We start from the raw sequence: 19,195 nt of genomic DNA on the forward strand, positions 1-19,195 counted from the left end.
GACCCCAGCAGCTTGCCACTGCTGGCTCAGGCAGCCTGGTTTTATTCTCTTATCTGGCCCCACCCACATCCTGCTGATTGGTAGAGCCTAGTGGTCTGTTTTGACAGGGCGCTGATTGGTGCGTTTACAATCCCTGAGCTAGACACAAAGGTTCTCCACGTCCCCACTAGATTAGCTAGATACAGAGTGTCCACACAAAGGTTCTCCAAGTTCCCACGAGAGAAGCTAGATACAGAGTGTCGATTGGTGCATTCACAAACCCTGAGCCCTAGCTCTGGGTGCTGATTGGTGTGTTCACAAACCTTGAGCTAGATACGGAGTGCCGATTGCTGTATTTACAATCCCTGAGCTAGACATAAAGGTTCTCCACCTCCCCACCAGACTCAGGAGCCCAGCTGGCTTCACTCAGTGGATCCCGCACCGGGCTGCAGGTGGAGCTGCCTGCCAGTACCGCGCCGTGCGCCCGCACTCCTCAGCCCTTGGGTGGTCGATGGGACTGGGCGCCGTGGAGCAGGGGGCGGCGCTCATCGGGGAGGCTCGGGCCGCACAGGAGCCCACGGAGTGGGTGGGAGACTCAGGCATGGCGGGCTGCAGGTCCCGAGACCTGTCCCGCGGGAAGGCAGCTAAGGCCCGGCGAGAAATTGAGCACAGCAGCTGCTGGCCCAGGTGCTAAGCCCCTCACTGCCGGGGGCCGGTGGGGCCGGCCGGCAGCTCGGAGCGCGGGGTCCGCGGAGCCCACGCCACGCCCACCCGGAACTCACGCTGGTCCGCAAGCGCCGTGCGCAGCCCAGGTTCCCGCCCACGCCTCTTCCTCCATGCCTCTCCCTTCATACCTCCCCGCAAGCTGAGGGAGGCGGCTCCGGCCTTGGCCAGCCCAGAAAGGGGCTCCCACAGTGCAGCGGCGGGCTGAAGGGCTTCTTAAGTGCCGCCAAAGTGGGAGCCCAGGCAGAGGAGGCGCCGAGAGCGAGCAAGGGCTGTGAGGACTGCCAGCACGCTGTCACCTCTCACTATGAGGTAAGTACTTACTGTTATTATCTGCTTTTTACAGTTTAGAAAAATGAGACTGAGAGCTTGGGCAACTTGCTCTTAAAATCACACACATGTCCTGTAGCCGTCAGCCCTCATTTTGTCTCACTTTGAAACCCAGCTGTGCTCCAATGCCTCTCATGTACAATGTACGATGGGTACTGTTGACCAAAGCAAGTGCTTTCCATAGTCACTCCTATTAACATCGTTTGTTAAAACTCAGTAAATGGTCATTGTTTTTTCAGTTGCATAATGGAAAACTCCTGGTAGGAAACACATTTACAAAAACTTCTGTTATCGCTTACATCCAGCTATAGAATCTCTCAAAGGGAATCATCGAGAAGAATTTTTTTTTAGTTAATTAATCTCAAAGGTATTCATTTCTACGAGATGCTTTTTATGCTCATTATGATTTTGGCTATTTTGCCCTTTAATTGTTGGTTTCCATTTGTGAGCTGTGTCATGAGGTAAAGAGGATTAGTTAGCCAATGCAAGAAGGCTTGTTACAGTGTTTATGTCTTGGATTCACTCTGCAATTGTTATTCCAAGGAAAAACTAATTATGAGTGTAACACATACATGTTAATATACAGCCTCCTTTCCAGACACATGTTCATGGATAATTTCATTTACATCAGTTTTTCAGCATTTCCGAGGTGAGGCTGATTTTTTTCTAAATCACTGTATTAAAAAGCAAACAAGCAACTCCCCTGCTCCAAAAAAAAAAAAAAAAAAAAAAAAACTTCTAAAAACTAGCTTTCCTACAGCATTATTCTCTCTTGTGGGAGTTAGTGGAAAAAATGCCACTTGTCAATTGCAATGCAATTAAATAGACTTGGTTGAAATTGACAAGAAAGAACAGCGAAAATATGGATTTTAAATGTCAAAGCTCTAAGTGGCTGCATATTCTGAGTGTGGACTTTTCTCACTTCAAAGAAGCATCAGTGGAACCTGTCAATCATATTTCATTCCTGACAGCTGGCTTTGATCAGCACATGGTGAAAAGCTCAATTAAAACCCCACAGTTAAATTGAGCAGCTGGGCCAGGGTAAGCAATTTGAGACTCAGTGTGAATTTCACGAGGGACTGTTAACCATGACCGTCCTCATAGATTAAATTAGGTACTTGCTAATTTTTTCCGTCAGTACTTGCTGTGAAGATGTATTACACCGCATGACAAACCGCCTCCCCACCATTCTGAAGTCCCAAAGTTAGAGGCACTTTATGTTCTTAGTTAAGTTTCATGACATTAGGGAGTATTTAATTACCTTAAATACCTACAAAGAAACACACAACACTACATGCACACACATACATGCACACACAATATAATTAAACAAGGTAACAATTTTGATAACACACACCAATAGAATGAAATCTGTCGCTTTCAGCTAAATATAAGAAAAATCCTTTGGGGTCCACAATAACAAACCATCTCTATCAAAATAGAAGATAAATGCTAATGTCCTTATAAGTGGATGGAGGTGGATGGGACCTTAAATGTCACATAAAGTTTAAAAAAAAAAAAGTATGATGAAACAACTAGACACAGACCAAACAGCATACACAAAATAACACAGAAAAAGTGAGAACAAAGTGAGGTTCTCTGTTATCCAAGGTTACTTCAAGAAATGGATTGAAATCTAATTCAGGATTTATGTCTTCTATTGATCTTGTCTGATTTCAAATAAGGTTTTATAATTATCTTTGTATTTGTCTTATCTACTGCATACATTGCAAATTCCCCAAGAATAGGCCCAGTGTGCCCCATATGTCTTCTTCCACTAATCCTGTCTATTTCTACTGCAGTGGCTCAGCACAAGAGCCTGAGCAGAGCTGAAAGTCTATTAACTATTTTTAATATTGAGTTGGCTATCTCCTTGTAAATGATATCCTTATGTAGCCAGCCCTCAGGCCTCTGCCAGTTTCATTACTTATAGAGCTGACCCTATCCACTCAGAAGCCAATGGTGAATAGCATTAAAGAGAAACATTCAGACTAGACTTCACAAAAAAACCTTACTTACATGCACCATAATCATATCTTATTTTTATATATTATTATTAAACACAACTTTTGAACTAAAAGGGACCTCAGAGATCATTAATATAAACAGCTCTTTTAAATGAGGAAAAAATTCTACATATCTAGATGAGTGCACAGAAACGAATATACTAAATTGGGAGTTCTGCCTCTCATCAAGATATCTGAGGGATAAGTAGGTTTCCTCTTATTTTAATTAGCCGATATATTAATTTAGCAAACATTCATTGAGGATCTACAAAGACGCTTAGCTAGGAGCTATGGAAAATATGAATTAGAGGCCTTTATAAAATTAGCAATGCAACAAATTATATATTGTCAGTCATAAGAAAAATACAGTTAAAATTTGAAGTGGGTTCAAATGAGAAAGGTTAGTTTGATCTGGGTATATCGGGGTAGGCCTGAGGGAAGACATGACATTCAAATTTAGCTTTATTGGCTTCTAGAATTCGAAAATTTGGGAATAGCAGTTGGTTTTAGAGAAAAAATCCAGGAGAGGCTAAGGCATAGAAATAAGAAGAAAATGAAAAAAATGTCATTAGTTCTTATTTATTTTTTCTCTAATTAAAAAAATCAATAACATAGAATACTTATATATATAGTATTGTATTATTATATAGTATACATTATTTTTATTTTATATTATTATTATAGAATAGTATTTTTTAGTGTTTATACTTATAGTATTATATACTTATGTTTATTTGGTATAAATAATATTTACTTAGCCATGCTAAGCCATTAGCTCTATAGTCAGGACCCAAGGAAAACAAAACAGCAAGCTTGAAATTGTTAGGCTACCTTCCTGTGCTTTCCTTTCCTCTCTGCATTTGGTTTCCATGGAGACCATTCGAGAGAGGACCCAGTGAGTCAGCAACAAACAAAGCTAGTTCACTGAGCCCTGTGAAATTAGGAGTAAGCTTTAAGGTCAGTGAAATGTTGCAAGTGAAATACACTGCTCAAATAATTTTCAACGTTCATTGAATTTAACTAGGCCTATTATCTTCTGCTCGTAATTCTGCTCCAGCCATTATATTTTCAGGCCCTTGATTCACACCCAGATATATGTGATAATAGAATTGATGTCACTGTCATACCTCTTGGGGAGCCACAGCAGGTTTCAGATACACGGAGAGGATACAAAATGGGTAAACTATTGTTCATATGCTGCAAACTCAGATATACAAAAATGTAATTTCCTTTGATTTTTTTAAACTGAGCTCATTTTTATTCCAAGATTTCATTTCTGTCAAATGATAGGAAAAAATAATCTAGTTATCTTTAAGTAAACCCAGTTAATTTTGAGTTTTCTATCCTCATCTTCATCTTCACAGAGTTCTGGGACTAAGCTGTGGGACTTACATAACACCACAACATTGGTGGGGAGGAGTGTCTACTTTTCTCCTTTGATACACCTTCCTTTGCCCTCTTATGATATGTACAACATCTTGTGATGGCATTTGGTCATCTAGAGCCATCTCCACATATTCTGGGATTAACCTATTCCTGTTATGGTTGTTATACTGACATTCAACACCACTCTTCCTTGGAGAATTCTCTAACCGTAATTTGAAGACCATTTTGGATTGATAGTTTTCCTTCAAAATTTTATTTTCTTTTCTTTAAAATTTAATTATTTAGCCAGTAAAAATATTATCCTGGTAAATCAAAAAAGTCATTTTTAAAAGAAGTAAGATTACAACAAGGGTAAGAAAGATGGCTCAAACGATGGCCAAATATATTTTAAATTCTAGAATCAAGTTGCCATGTAAAACACAAGACTCACAAATATAAATATTTTATTATAAAATTTAGTATCAATGATTTGGTTTCAGAAATACAACATAATATGTTAGAGCAAATTAATGTTCTTTATTAGAATTTTATTGGTTCTATAGTTTTTTTGCATTCGTTCATTTTTGTTTCATTACCATAGAAATGTGGTAAACAAGAGTTTATATCTAGCTTTGAGTTTGAAACAACATACATGTAAGGAAATGAATAAGTCAGTATGAATTTTTTTCCTTCTGTGTGTAATTCAAATCTAAATGCCAATAGTCTATATATCCAGCATTTCACCTCTGGATGTATACCCAAGAGAACTGAAGACCTATGGCCACAAAAAAAACTTGTACACAAATTTTCATAATAATATTATTAATAGCCCAAAGTGGAACAAACTCATATGTCCATAAATGAATGATAAATATGTGGTATATTCATACAGTGAAATATTAGTGAATCACAAAAGGGAATGCAGAACTGATAAATGTCACAATGTGAACAAATCCTGATAACATTATGCTAATTTGAAGAAATCAGATACAAAAGGCCTTATATTGTATGATTCTGTCTATAGGAACTGTCCAGAAAAGACAAATCAATAGAGACAGAGTGTAGATTAGTGAATGAGTAGGGCTAAGGGTAGGAACAGGGGGCAACTTCAGATGGGCATGGAGAATCCTTTCAAAGTAACAAAAATATTCTAAAACTGGATTAAGGTATTGCTGCAAAGCTGTAAATTTACAAAACATAATTGAATTCTACACTTTAAAAGGATATGTTTCTGGTATGTGGATTATATTTCAATAATCTTGTTAAAAATTCCGATAGTTTAGGTCTCTTCAAGACATGATGCGAACCATTTTAATAGTGCTTATTAAATAAAAATAATTAAACTAGTGTCAATTCTTCACATTTGCAGAGAATTTCTATTTCAAGAAAATGCACACACAATATTTCATTTGAAATTCATAAAATACATGTGAGAGTTGGTATCATAATCTCAATTTTGTAGGTAAAGAAATTCAGTGACCCTGAGACAGTTTAAGTAAGTTGTATATTCTTATACATCAATAATTGCATGATCAAGATTTGAACCTAGAACTTATGATTCAAAATCTTATGCTATTATTTCTCTTTAAAAAACTAGATATTCTTTCCATAATTCACTTAATTCCATGGATAAACTAATGATTTTCTTTTAACTAGGACATAACCAATTGGTTCATGTACACAACATGATGAGACTTTTACTCAGGACCACTCTGGAAGATCTACCAGACACCTCAGAGAGCATTCACTTTAACTCAACTGGTCAATTTTACCTGAAAAGCAAAGAGATAGTCTTCTTTCAAAAATTTTCCTTCCTGACACTTTCGAAACTCTCAATGATTGATAGCTCCCCAAACCAATGATTGCTACATGAAAACCAGAGCATAAGATTTTGAATCATAAGTTCTGGGTTCAAATCTTGATCATGCAAGATATAATTATTTAATCTCAGCTGGAAGGGTTCCCATTCAGAGTGGATCCCCTCCTGCTGTTTTTGTCTGGCTGCTCTGTGATAAAAGACATAATGTGTGATGTGTTGTATGTGCACGTGCATTCTCGTGGCTCATTTGGTGGTGGGGCCAGGCCCTGTGAGAGGACAAAAGAATGATGCCAGAAGATATGGAGCATTATGCCCTTTTGTCTTCACAGAGAAACAAGCTCTGTTGGCAGCGATAGTTCTCTAATAGAGACTATACACTTAGCATCACCTGCACTGGGACCCTGCCTAGTTCTTATATAACTAACTGAACTAACTGGGTTACTGGGGTGGAACTGTGAACTAGAGCTGGCCTTGGTCTGACATGAGAGATAGATAGATGGATAGATGGATGGATAGATATAAATAGTTAGAGATAAATATAGATATAGATATAGATATAGATATAGATATAGATATAGATATGTAGTCTTTTTCTTTTCTAGCCATACTGGGCTAACTTCTCCTCTTTTACTTCCTCATGTCCCAACAAAACCCCATGATGCCAAGCCCCACTGAGAACTAACCTACTGAGTCCTCCTGACTCAGTAGATTAGAGCTCCCCTTTTTGCCATTCCTAAATCCCTGAAATAATGAAAAATATACATTATTCCAAAGTAAAGAAGCCAAATGTTACAGAACACACAGCATAATCTCAGTAACTACTGATTTTGACCTTTTCTAAAAACATTGTTACTCATCACAGGTATTTTGGCTTCAGTAGAAGTTTGCACAACTATTACTCTTAAATCAATGTTATTTTTTCTTCATTGGCCTGTTTGTATATTCCTTCCTTTCTACTCTTGCAGTTATCTGATAGAGGTTTAGAAAAGAATTACGTATCTGAGTGTTAAGATCCAGTCTAGGGAAGTGACAGAAGAGAAAGACTAAAAGAATGACTCAAGAAAAATGTTCTGTATGGGGGGAAAGTACAGAGAGGAACATGGGGCAATACCAGTGGTCACGCTGTCTTCCTACATTTGCTAATCAGCCCATTACAGGTTTTTATTGTTACAATCCTTTCTTTCCGTTACTTTCATCTCCAGAGGTGATGATGCCGTTGCCTTACATCTCTCCTCGAACACACTCTCTTGGATGAGCTTAATAGTGGAAAAATCTAAACCACCAGTGCCCAGTTCTTCCTAAGTTCATACTTTTATGTGAATACCATCTTATTTCTCTTGTATATGTAATTATGAAAACTCAGTACAGTTTCATTTTTCCCCACTAACACTCTGCCCTGTCATCTTCCCTGCAAGAGGGAATATTGTTTACCTCTAGGCCACATGCCATATGTATTATTTGGGAGGGCATCCAACAAGTCCTAGAGTTATGGAACTGGAAGAGATCAATGTGTCTTATTAAAATGAGACTCAGAGCATCCAAGGGTAAACACTGAAAGGAAAATCTCTAATTAGGAAGTGCTTTTTTTTTTTTTTTTTCCAAAATGACCTCAAATCTGTTCCTGTGTGTCTCACTTTCCACATACATCTCCATCGCACTTTGATTAACGTTTCTCCCATTCCACAGGTACATGCATAGGTTACTACCATCAGGTAACAATCTGACCTGGTTTAGGCAAAACTTTTTTTTCTCCAATTTCCTTTAGCGTATCTGTGAAAGGCTGGCATTTTAAAAAATGATGTTAATAAATCAATACTAAGAGAAACAAAAAGAAAATAGACTATGTAAACATAAAATCAGATCGGCTTGTGAAGTCAGACATCATCCTCTCAGCAGTGACTGCCTTCCCATGAAAGTGCCTTCTCCAGGGAGAAAAAAAATAACACCAGTTGAAGATGTAAAAGTGTATTAGGAAACTTTGGCCTAATAAGATAAGTATTCATGAATGTACTGGGAGTAGGACCAGCTGTCATTTTCTTTTTTTCACCTGGAAGTGGCAGAATAGGATAGGAGGAATTAGTTCCCAAGCATGAAGAGCAAATTGACTTCAACACAAAGAAATGCAAAAGATAGGAAAAAGATAAGTCATTCATTCATTCAACAGGAATTTATTGAGCCCACCTATGTCCCAGGCACAATCTAAATGTTATCATACCTGATGAATTGCCTTCAAGTCTGAGATGGCACCTCAAGGGAGACATCAACAAACTAGAATAGTGACATGCAAAAATAAAAAAAGAACGTGATGTTGGAGAGAGAGATGGTTGTGGGAAATTAGAATATTTAGATAAAGAGACAGCAGATAGGACTGATGATCTCAAATCTGTAAAGGGATGCTGGATGAAAAGGGGCCCACATTCATTTGGCAGATTACAAGAGCAGAACAAGGAACATTTTCTAGAAAACTCAAGGAGGAATGATTGAATGGAAGAAAATGATTAACCAGACAATGGTCGGCCTTGAAAAAGTGTCATTCCTGTTCATGGAAGTGCAGGAATGCATTCTGAGTGCTGCAGAGGATATTCTGAATTCTGCAGGGCAACATTTTCAAATCAGGGGTTTGAAAGCCTCCAGAGATCCAAAAAAATAATTCTAACCTTTCATATAGGTAGGGATAGCAATAGTGCACTCTTTTCCAATATGATTCTTAAAAACAAACACACATTAAGAAAAATATTTTAATACCTTTTCATCCATATAAAATTTTTTGAGAGCCTCTGTACGTGTGGTCTGAGTGAACACGTGCAATAAAGGATGTGGGGACATATGCTCATGTTTCAGTCACTGATTTGGTGATATGCAAAAATAACAACTGCTTATGTTAACCATTATAGTCTTAAAGTGTTTGTCTTCTCATTTATATATAATTTATACCCATTTTGGACTAGTGATTAACTAGAGGAAATATGAGGAAAAATAATGTTGAGCTCAAAATAAATAAACATGATAAGTAGACTGGCATTAATCACGTATGCTTGGCTCATGTTGCACTTAAGAAATTGTATTCATTTCATCATATTCTGGTATTTCAAAAATGTTGTTAAAATATACAGTGACAATTTTACTCCCAGTTTTATTTCATTTCTGAGGATAGACACCATATACCTGGTTATAAAAAATTGAGAAGTGCTTACAAATAGAAGCCTGAGTCTTTCCCTTTCCAACATTATTTAAATTCTTTAACTATGAAATGCTAACATTCTAAAGAATGTGTTTTGAAAACCGGTTTTGTTCATTTTCACACCCTAACAAGTCCTAAAATTTTACTCCGTATTTTAATATATATTTGGTGAACAAGCCAAACATGGCATAATTCAGCATTTAAAAAATTATGTGTTCAATAAATTGTGGTTTTCATAATTAATTTTAAATAAATTAAATGGTACGTGCTTTTTATTGGCTGGGAATAAATACGTATCTGTTTTATATGTTATTTATATTAATTTATATCATAGTATTTAAAATAAATTTAATAATATACTTTTCAATTTATTTCAGCCAGTTTTAAAAATTATTATGTAAAATATTTTTAAATATTCTGCAAATTTTAAATATATTACAAAATTGAAAGACTATTAATGAACACATGTATTCCTTATAGCTGGTATAGAAATTGAATATAATCTAGACATTCTTTCTGTGTATTTCTGTTAGTCCTATCCTCCCAGAAGTTAATAGCAATCTGAATTTTTGTTAAGGAAATTTCTTTATTTTATTTATTTACCACCTATGTATGCATTCCCAAACAATATATTATTTAGTTTTTTCTGGTTTTGAAATTTGTTTAAATATGCTCAAACATGATGCTTTTTTCCTTTTCAAACTTACTTTTGAGATTCATTCATTTTGATGCATATAGCTGTAATTTTACATCTTTATATATTTATTTGGTCTATGGTTGTCAGACATGTGGGTGATTTTTAATTACTGTTAAAAACATTCTTCTGCACGTCACTGGGTCACCACTTCAAGAGTTTCTCTAAAAAGATATATTTAGGAGTGGAATGCCAAAGAGCTTTCCAAAATGTAATGATTATAACAAATACATTCATACCCTCAGTGGATGATATTTCACAGCACTTCCATTCTTCAACACTTTATATTAACATCCTTCTTAGTATCTGCCAATCTGATGGTATGTGAATGTATATATTGCATTGTAAAATTTTGGTCCCTGATTACTGGTAAAGTTAAGCATCTTCTAATATGTTTAATGACAATTTAGGTTTCCTCCTTTGGAAAATTTATGCTATTTTTTAGTTCATTTTCTTTTGAGTATTTGGACTTTTATAAAATTGATTCATAGTAGTTCTGTATGTATTCTGGATACTAATCTTTTCTTGGTAAGATGTCCTGCAAATATCTTCCCCTAGTTTGCAGCTTCTCTTTTTATTAGCTTTAAGCCATTTTTTTGATAAAATCAATGGCTTCCTTTAAGGTGACTTACCAAAACTTTCTTTTATGATTAAAGATTATTGTGTCTTACTTAGAAATAACATATTACCTTTAATTTGCCTTTAATTTTATTTTTATTTTTTCGCTTTTAAATCTTTAATCCACCTGGAATTGGTTCTTGCTCATGACCAAGGTAAGAATTCAATTCCCTTCTACTTTTAAAAAACACAAATAGCCAATTGTCCCAGGATCACTTATTTAATAGTTTATCGTTCCCCCACTGTCCTACAATGCATCTCATATGGCCCCTGGTGACTCCCACCTTCTAGGATTCATGCTTTGTGTAATCACCTGCCCTGATTTAGTGACTTGGTTCTAGTGAATAGAATGTGGTTCTAGTGAGTAGAGTTGAAGAAGTATCATTTTGGAGATTAGATCATAAAAGGTGGTGCCTTCCATCTTGGGTTCACTGGCCCGATCTTACTGTCTCTTGACTTGGTTGCCTTGGGAGAAGTCAGCTCCCATGTTATGACACAGTTCTGTGGACAGGGCCAGGTCTGCCAGTAGCCATGTGAGTAAGCTTGGAAATAGATCCTTTCCCAGTCAAACCTTCAGAGGAGACCACAGCCCCAGCTGGTAGCTTGACTGTAACTTCATGAGAGACCCTGATCCAGAGGAATTGAGTTAAGGTGTGCTTGGATTTCTGAGTCACAGAAAGCATGAGATAATAAATGCCTCTAAGCCACAAAAGTTTGGAGTAATTGGTTATGCAGTAAGCAATAGAAACTTTTACATACGACTCTTCATATTTTCTATTTTTAGTCAGTTTTCACAAATTAATAAGCATTTGATAAATTATTTTGACAAATCATTTGAATATCTTGGCAAATGTTGTAATATCTCTTTTCATTCTGCTTAATCCATGTGCTTCTGTCATCCTTTCATTCCTCATGTTTATATGTGCCTTCTCACTTTTTTCAAGAATCATTTTTAAAGAAGTACTTCTATTTTCTTAGTCTTTTCAAAGAGCCAAATTTAGCATTGCTGACCTCTTTTCTTTTGTTTTCTCTACTTTATTATTTCAGGTTTTTACATATTTTTCAGTTCTTTGACAACTCTGTAACTGTTACGTTACATGAAAGAGGAATAATTTCCAGATTACAAATGTCTGGAATCTCAAAGGGCAAGGTTCTTGACTCCTTTCACAGAAGAGAAGGTCAAGATTAAGGAAATTTGTCTTATTCTTGGTTGTATAGGTTATTAATTAATGTTTGTTGAATAATACTTTGATATAATTCTGGGAATATCATCAGGAGAACTATTTCTGGTTCAGGAAATTCAGCTGTGCCAATTGACAAATGTTTGTTGGAGTCTAGGAAAAGAAATTCTATTTCTATATCAAAATATTAGAAACCATAGTCTGAAAAGTAGAAGAACTATGTTAGTTCACTAGGGCTGCCATAACAAAACAGAATATACTAGGTGACACAAACAACAGGAATTTTTTTTCTCGCAGTTCTGCAGATTGTAAAATTCAAGATCAAGGTTGCACAGGTTTTGCAGCAGGGTTTGGTTTCTGGGGCTTAGAGATGGGGCTGTCTTCTTGCTGTGTTCTCACATGGAGAGATAAAGGGAGAGAAAAAGACAGGCAGAGAGAGAGAGAGAAAGAGACAGAGAGAGAGATCTGATGTCTCTCCTTTTACAAAGATACCAGTTCTATTGCATCAGGGCTTCATCCTTATGGTCTCATTTAACTTTATTCACCTTCTTAAAGACCCTACTTCCAATACAGTTACGTGGATTGGGTGTGTTAAGAGTTTCAACACGAATTTTTGAAGGAACACAATTCAGTTCATGGCAAGAACTATGAAGAAACTGAGATTAAAATATTTAAAATTGGATATTTTTAAAAGTCTGAGATATATGGTTGTTAGGTTATTTCTCATTCCGATAATGTATCCTGAAACTGGGTAACTGGTTTCTACATATGTCCTAGGATTGGGCTATACCATTCACCTTTTTTCTCCTTTCCCAGGGTCAATCTTAGAGGTAGAAAATAGAGATTTGGCTCCCCCTTGTTCCTATCCAGCACTGTCACAGTGGGAAACATCACCATATTCTATTTCAACTAGACAGTTTACTCACTTCTAATTACTCCCTTTGCTCAACAACCTCCTTGAATAGGACTCATTCAGGAATGGGGTCCCAAAGGCTCCAAAGATATTTAAATTTCCACGTAGGAGAAAGCAATGTAGATATCAGTGTCTTGGAAGATGTCTGTGCAGAAGACAGAGACGCACGCTGCTGCATGTCATTTAGTCAGAGTTTATTTGGCTAAGAAGAAAGCATTCCAGATCATGGGTGGAGATCCCTAACCTCTAATATGCCAAAGGAAAATTTGGACTAAAAATCCTATACAAACAGATGATTAAATGATCATACTTTCTCTTTGTAAGTTACATAAGTGCCATCTTTGCCTCTTTCTCTCTCTTTCTTTCTCTCTCTCTTTCTCTCTCTCTTTCTCTCTCTTTCTCTTTCTTTCTCTTTTTTTCTCTTTCTTTTTTTTTCTTTCTTTCCCCTTCCTTCCTTCCCTCCCTCCCTCCCTGCCTCCTTCCCTCCTTCCCTCCTTCCCTCCCTCCCTCCCTCCCTGAGTCTCACTCTGTTGGCCAGGCTGAAGTGCAGTGGCACGATCTCAGCTCACTGCAACCTCCACCTCCCGGGTTCAAGCAATTCTCCTGCCTTAGTCTCCAGAGTAGCTGAAATTATAGGGGCCCTCACCTCTTTTTTCACTCCTCTTTTATGCTTTGTGTATCCAATGGAGAGGAAAATTTGGAGTCCTCAGTTTACAAAGTATTCTCAGAATTCAGAATGAACAGAGAGCATGGATCTACTGGCCAGAAGAATAGATCTTATTTGCTTGGTTTATCTTTGAGCCCATTGTGCTGGCCCATCAGCTCACAAACCCCATTCTTGTTATTTCACTTTACAATCAGGAATTTGGACTTGATTTTATATTATTAAAGTAACAGAAACTCTAAATGAGCCCATATGTGGATATCTTCATTTGATTCTTTCTTTGATGTATGACAGCCAGGACATTTTTGGAAGCAGTATAGATTATATGTAGCACTTGTCTTGGGTCTGATTGCTTTTTGGAATGTAGTGTAGAGCTTCTTCTGGAGTGCAGGTGACATGATTGTAAACAGAGAAATTCCAAATATACAGGAAATGGGCAAAAGAGAAACAGGTAGATGATCAAGTTGCTTTAGAAGACTGTGAGGAGAAATTACTATCTGATAGTACCACACAGATCCTTGCACAAGAGGAATGATATCCAATTCTTGCCAGGCATTGAGTGAGTTATCTTATTTCCTTCATCAAACGTTTATTGAAAAAGGCACTGTTCTTTGCACTGAGAGTATAATCGTAAACACAAAAAATATTTACTCTCCTAGATGTTATATTTGTGTGTGTGTGGGGAGGTAGCTGGATATATATTGATTTTCCATTGCTTACTAAGGAGGAGGAGGAACAACATTTTAAGAGCCTGGTGATGTCCAAATGAAAAACATGGTTAATACCGGGGTAAGATTTGACAAGGCCAGTAATGCCGTGATCTATCACAGATGGATCCATCCAGACCCGGGGGAAAGACTGATGTTTAAAAAGAAAAAAAAAGAATGTAGATGCCTAGTTCTACCAAGAACTAGCTGCCTTAATTTAGGAGAGTCACCTAGCCTTCCTACTGCTCAAATGTAATCTTTTCTGTAGACCTCCTCAAAAAGTGACTGCCAGGATTAGATGAACGGAGATCATGTTGTATAAGTGTTTTGAACTGCAAAGCAGGGATCAACCTTTATGATTCCCTTAAAAAACGTAGACATAAAATCTAACGTTGTTGCTAATAATGGCTTACAAATATGATGATTCCCGAATTGTGGTTCATATCTCCAGTGATATAAAAAAGCCCTCAAATAATCCTGACATTTCACATCCTTCTACCCCGGGAGGAGGAGCATGTGTTTGGATGGATCCTGCCCTCTCTTTAAAAATCTTTGCTCTAACAAGGTCAGAATATTGTTTTAATAATGGGCATTTGTATTTCGAATAAGTATAACAAAAATATTTGCTACAGAAATGTAGTTGGCTATGGCGGTTACATTCCAAGGATAATGCCTTGTAACTTGAATCACAAGCAGCCTTTCCATAACTTAGATGCAAATCACAGTCACTTAATTGACAAGTTTTATTTCTCCAGTATGTTCACTTGATTGACAGCAAGCCAAGGCATTCTTCCATGTCCTCAGCCTCCTCTTTCCTTCCTAGGACTGGCTTCCATGGAGGTGAAGAACTGCTGCATGGTGACAGAGTTCATCCTTTTGGGAATCCCACACACAGAGGGGCTGGAGATGACACTTTTTGTCTTATTCTTGCCCTTCTATGCCTGCACTCTACTGGGAAATGTGTCTATCCTTGTTGCTGTTATGTCTTCTGCTCGCCTTCACACACCTATGTATTTCTTCCTGGGAAACTTGTCTGTGTTTGACATGGGTTTCTCCTCAGTGACTTGTCCCAAAATGCTGCTCTACCTTATGGGGCTGAGCCGACTCATCTCCTACAAAGACTGTGTCTGCCAGCTTTTCTTCTTCCATTTCCTCGGGAGCATTGAGTGCTTCTTGTTTACGGTGATGGCCTATGACCGCTTCACTGCCATCTGTTATCCTCTGCGATACACAGTCATCATGAACCCAAGGATCTGTGTGGCCCTGGCTGTGGGCACATGGCTGTTAGGGTGCATTCATTCCAGTATCTTGACCTCCCTCACCTTCACCTTGCCATACTGTGGTCCCAATGAAGTGGATCACTTCTTCTGTGACATTCCAGCACTGTTGCCCTTGGCCTGTGCTGACACATCCTTAGCCCAGAGGGTGAGCTTCACCAACGTTGGCCTCATATCTCTTGTCTGCTTTCTGCTAATTCTTTTATCCTACACTAGAATCACAATATCTATCTTAAGCATTCGTACAACTGAGGGCCGTCGCCGTGCCTTCTCCACCTGCAGTGCTCACCTCATTGCCATCCTCTGTGCCTATGGGCCCATCATCACTGTCTACCTGCAGCCCACACCCAACCCCATGCTGGGAACCGTGGTACAAATTCTCATGAATCTGGTAGGACCAATGCTGAACCCTTTGATCTATACCTTGAGGAATAAGGAAGTAAAAACAGCCCTGAAAACAATATTGCACAGGACAGGCCATGTTCCTGAGAGTTAGTAAGAGCAGATAAATGGGTGCATGGCTCTGGAATTCCTTTTGCTTTGACCTAAGAAATTTCATTCTGGAATCTTCATATGTGACAATGACTTGGAATTTTCAGCACTGTGCTGAATGATATGGACCATTATGCTATATATAATACATTATCTTTTTGCAATATTTTATTTTATTGTCTAGGTTCTGCCTCTTCACCTATCTTCAAAGTCATATAGTCTTGTTTATTGTTACTTTGCCTTTCTTCTATAGAGAATTGCCTGTCCCTGGAAGGAAGATCTTTTCCATCCTGCCATTTTTTTTTTTTTTTGCATCACTTTTCTCAATTTACTCCCCTCATACTATTTGTGAGACAAACCTATAGGGAAAGGCAATAAAAAGAAAAGAGATTTTAAATAACTGATTGAGAGAATAATATAATTTTAAAAATATATTAACAGACTAAGGACTAGAGTCAAGATGCAGTGTTTTTTTTTCCTCCCCAAATATCTGGAAAGGGAATAACTTAGAATTTGTCAGCAAGGATGTTCATCCCATGTCTGACCCCATACCTGATTGCTCTGTCTAAACATTTTTAGGCAGATTGGGTTAGCCTCACTGCCTAAGGAAAGTAAAAAGCATTGTGTCTAGTATATTAGATTTGGGTCTGTTTCCATCTTGCTACCAGCTATTAGTGTGGCAAGTAGTGTGGTAACAATTTAGTAGCTTTATCAGGTCAGGCTAATGGCTTGGGCCAATGGCTTTCCAAACTTGATTCAAGGAGCCCCGAGACTCCAGTGAATTTATCCTGAGATTTCCATGTTAAATATACTTAGTGAGAACTTTCTGTTTAGTTATCATATGTATTAGATTTCTAGGTAAGATTCTACTGGAGAAAGTTTGAAAGCTTCTGGACTTTTTGATCTCTGGGGTACCTTGTAAGATTAAAAACTATGATGTGTATCTTTTGTTTCTACCCATAACTTTAAAGGTGTTTCTGCCTTTTCTTTAACACCTGAACCTCACCCTTACCTCTTGGATATTCATTTGAGCTTGCTAGACTTGGTAAAGCTTCAAGGATCATTTCATTACCTACCAAACAATTCTGCTCTTCCAAAAAAAATTGTAAATAAAATATTTATACTTACATTTGGCCTCATGCAACATCCTCATTTTTTGATGTGCATCAAAGTTATCTACTTTGGCTCAAAAACAGCTACACAGAAGCTTTGTGGAGCCACTGATTAGATCTGAAATCCCACAGAAGACAGAGACACTCAGCATTTTCCTGGATTCGTTGTATTAACTGCCTAGGGTACACATAATTTTACCTCTTTACACCTCTTACCAAAATACTAAGCACCGTGTTATTAAAATTCCAACTAGAAAGCTTCCCAATCCACTGTGATGTAACAAAAATAAATTCAGCTTCATATTCTCCTTTTTATCCCTTTTCAAAAACTCCTAAGCATGACACCCGAATTGCAAAGCTTCCTGCCAGAATTCTCTGTATCCTTGGAACTGTCAAGTATATAATTGTCTTAGTAGCCTCTTCACTCATTTGTGCCTTAAATTTCTGTCTTTGGTTCAGTAGTATGAAGATTATCTTTTATAGAGCCCTGATTATTTGTCAGATATTATCATAAATGCTGTGTAAAACTATCTCATTTAATCCTCAAAACAATCTTTGATATTTGTGCTATTGTTCCCATTTTACTGTGAGAGGCCCAGGATATGAATGCAAGGCTTTTACGCTTAAACACTAAGAAACTGCTTCCAAAATGCTTAAAAATCTTTCCAACTAAGAAGAGATAAGAAACCAAGAGGGAGCAGTTGACTTCATCCATGCCAGCCCAAGAAGCATCTTACATCCAAGATAAAGATATTTTCTCCCACTCTTATGAAGGAAATGGTAACCAAGGGAGTCAATGGTGGGCTTAACTCCAGAACGTAGATGGCAGAGGCCTCAAGTGGGCAAGGCATCTCACTGCAGCAGAGGCCAGGGTGAGAAACGATTAGGCATACGAAGAGGGACACAGCAACGGAGACTCAAAAAAGAAGGGCCACACAGGAATCAGAAGTGCCACATCTTCATGTCTTCTTCCAGTAAAAAACAGACAAGAGCCATAGATGAAGGCACTGGAATCTTTGTATCACTGAGGATTGCTGGAAGGAGGAGAGATGACTGAGAATACAAAAATCAGCAACAGCTTGAAAGAAAGCTCTGTCTCCAAACACCCACCATATGCCTTCTTCTGTCACCTGTGCTCCACTTCTCTCGTTAGGAAGTTTCCTGACCAATGTAAGGAGATGGCTGTTGATTTTCAGTTACTGATTTCTCACCCGATCTGGGCAATGATCCTTGATCCAGCAGCTCACAATCCTCTCTCTGAGCCCCAGTATTGATTTCATTTAGCTTGTTGAATTCGCCTTCTAAGGATTCATAGAGACATCTCAAAGGCTCTGTTATTGGCCAAGGGAAAATCTAACAAAAGATCTCAGAGCCCCTCCCTGGCCCCAAAATGGTTTCAGATGTAACTCAACATTCCAGAGGAATGGTAATAATGGGACTGCATTTTCCCTTTTCTCTGGTATATGTGTTTCTTATTAACATTATAAGACAAAGTGAACAAATAAAGACAAAATGTCACATCCGTTTTTAAAGGAATGCTGATCCACTGTTACAAAATCTATTTTCTATTACTGATTTAACTATATCTGATATTAATCACAACTTACATAACTGTTTTGATTCCATTCTCAAACGTAGAATCCTTTGAGATTTCAGTTATTTTTAAAGTTTCTTAATAATGAATCGTTAATTAGTAGCTTGCTATTACCAGAGTTAAAACACCTATCTACCATAGTTCTTCCAATATACTCTAAAGCTGTACTTCCTATACAAACCTGTTTGAGATCATTCACAGTAAGAGCAGAAAAGCTCTTGTATGTTTTCTGCTGTTCTAACTTGCTTAACAGAGACTGTGAGGTAGCAGTCTATGCTTTAATTTTTCTCTCCTCCTCCTTTCTTAATAAGAAACAACATTTTCCATGGCAGTGGACATTTTTTTTCCTCTTTTCAGTTGAGCTGTTCGCTTTAGAAGATAAATAATTAGTTTCACAAAGAAAAGCCAGGTCTAGCACCTCCAAGGATTTCTCCCATCCCTTCTGCTCCCAAACATTCTTAAAGTAAAAACAACTTTTATTTCAGGAATATTTACATCTTTAACAAAACAAACCATTTACAAGATGTGTTTATTCACTTT

At 37.6% G+C, this 19,195-nt stretch overlaps 1 protein-coding gene across 1 annotated transcript; it reads left to right on the plus strand.

The window, feature by feature from the left end:
* Positions 1-13,089: 13,089 nt before the first annotated feature.
* On the plus strand, positions 13,090-18,525 carry OR10D3 (olfactory receptor family 10 subfamily D member 3). Its single transcript, NM_001355213.3, has 2 exons — positions 13,090-13,128; positions 15,004-18,525. Exon 2 carries the CDS (start codon positions 15,015-15,017, stop codon positions 15,951-15,953), a length of 939 nt encoding a protein of 312 aa, NP_001342142.1. The 5' UTR covers positions 13,090-13,128; positions 15,004-15,014; the 3' UTR covers positions 15,954-18,525.
* The last annotated feature ends 670 nt before the right edge of the window (positions 18,526-19,195 follow it).

Source organism: Homo sapiens, chromosome 11, assembly GCF_000001405.40.
Source record: "Homo sapiens chromosome 11, GRCh38.p14 Primary Assembly".
In the NCBI taxonomy this organism is placed as follows: domain Eukaryota; kingdom Metazoa; phylum Chordata; class Mammalia; order Primates; family Hominidae; genus Homo; species Homo sapiens.

What these genes read in the sequence shown, in the direction of transcription:
- OR10D3 (NM_001355213.3), top strand. Translation starts at nt 15,015, where the DNA reads ATGGAGGTGAAGAACTGCTGCATGGTGACAGAGTTCATCCTTTTGGGA.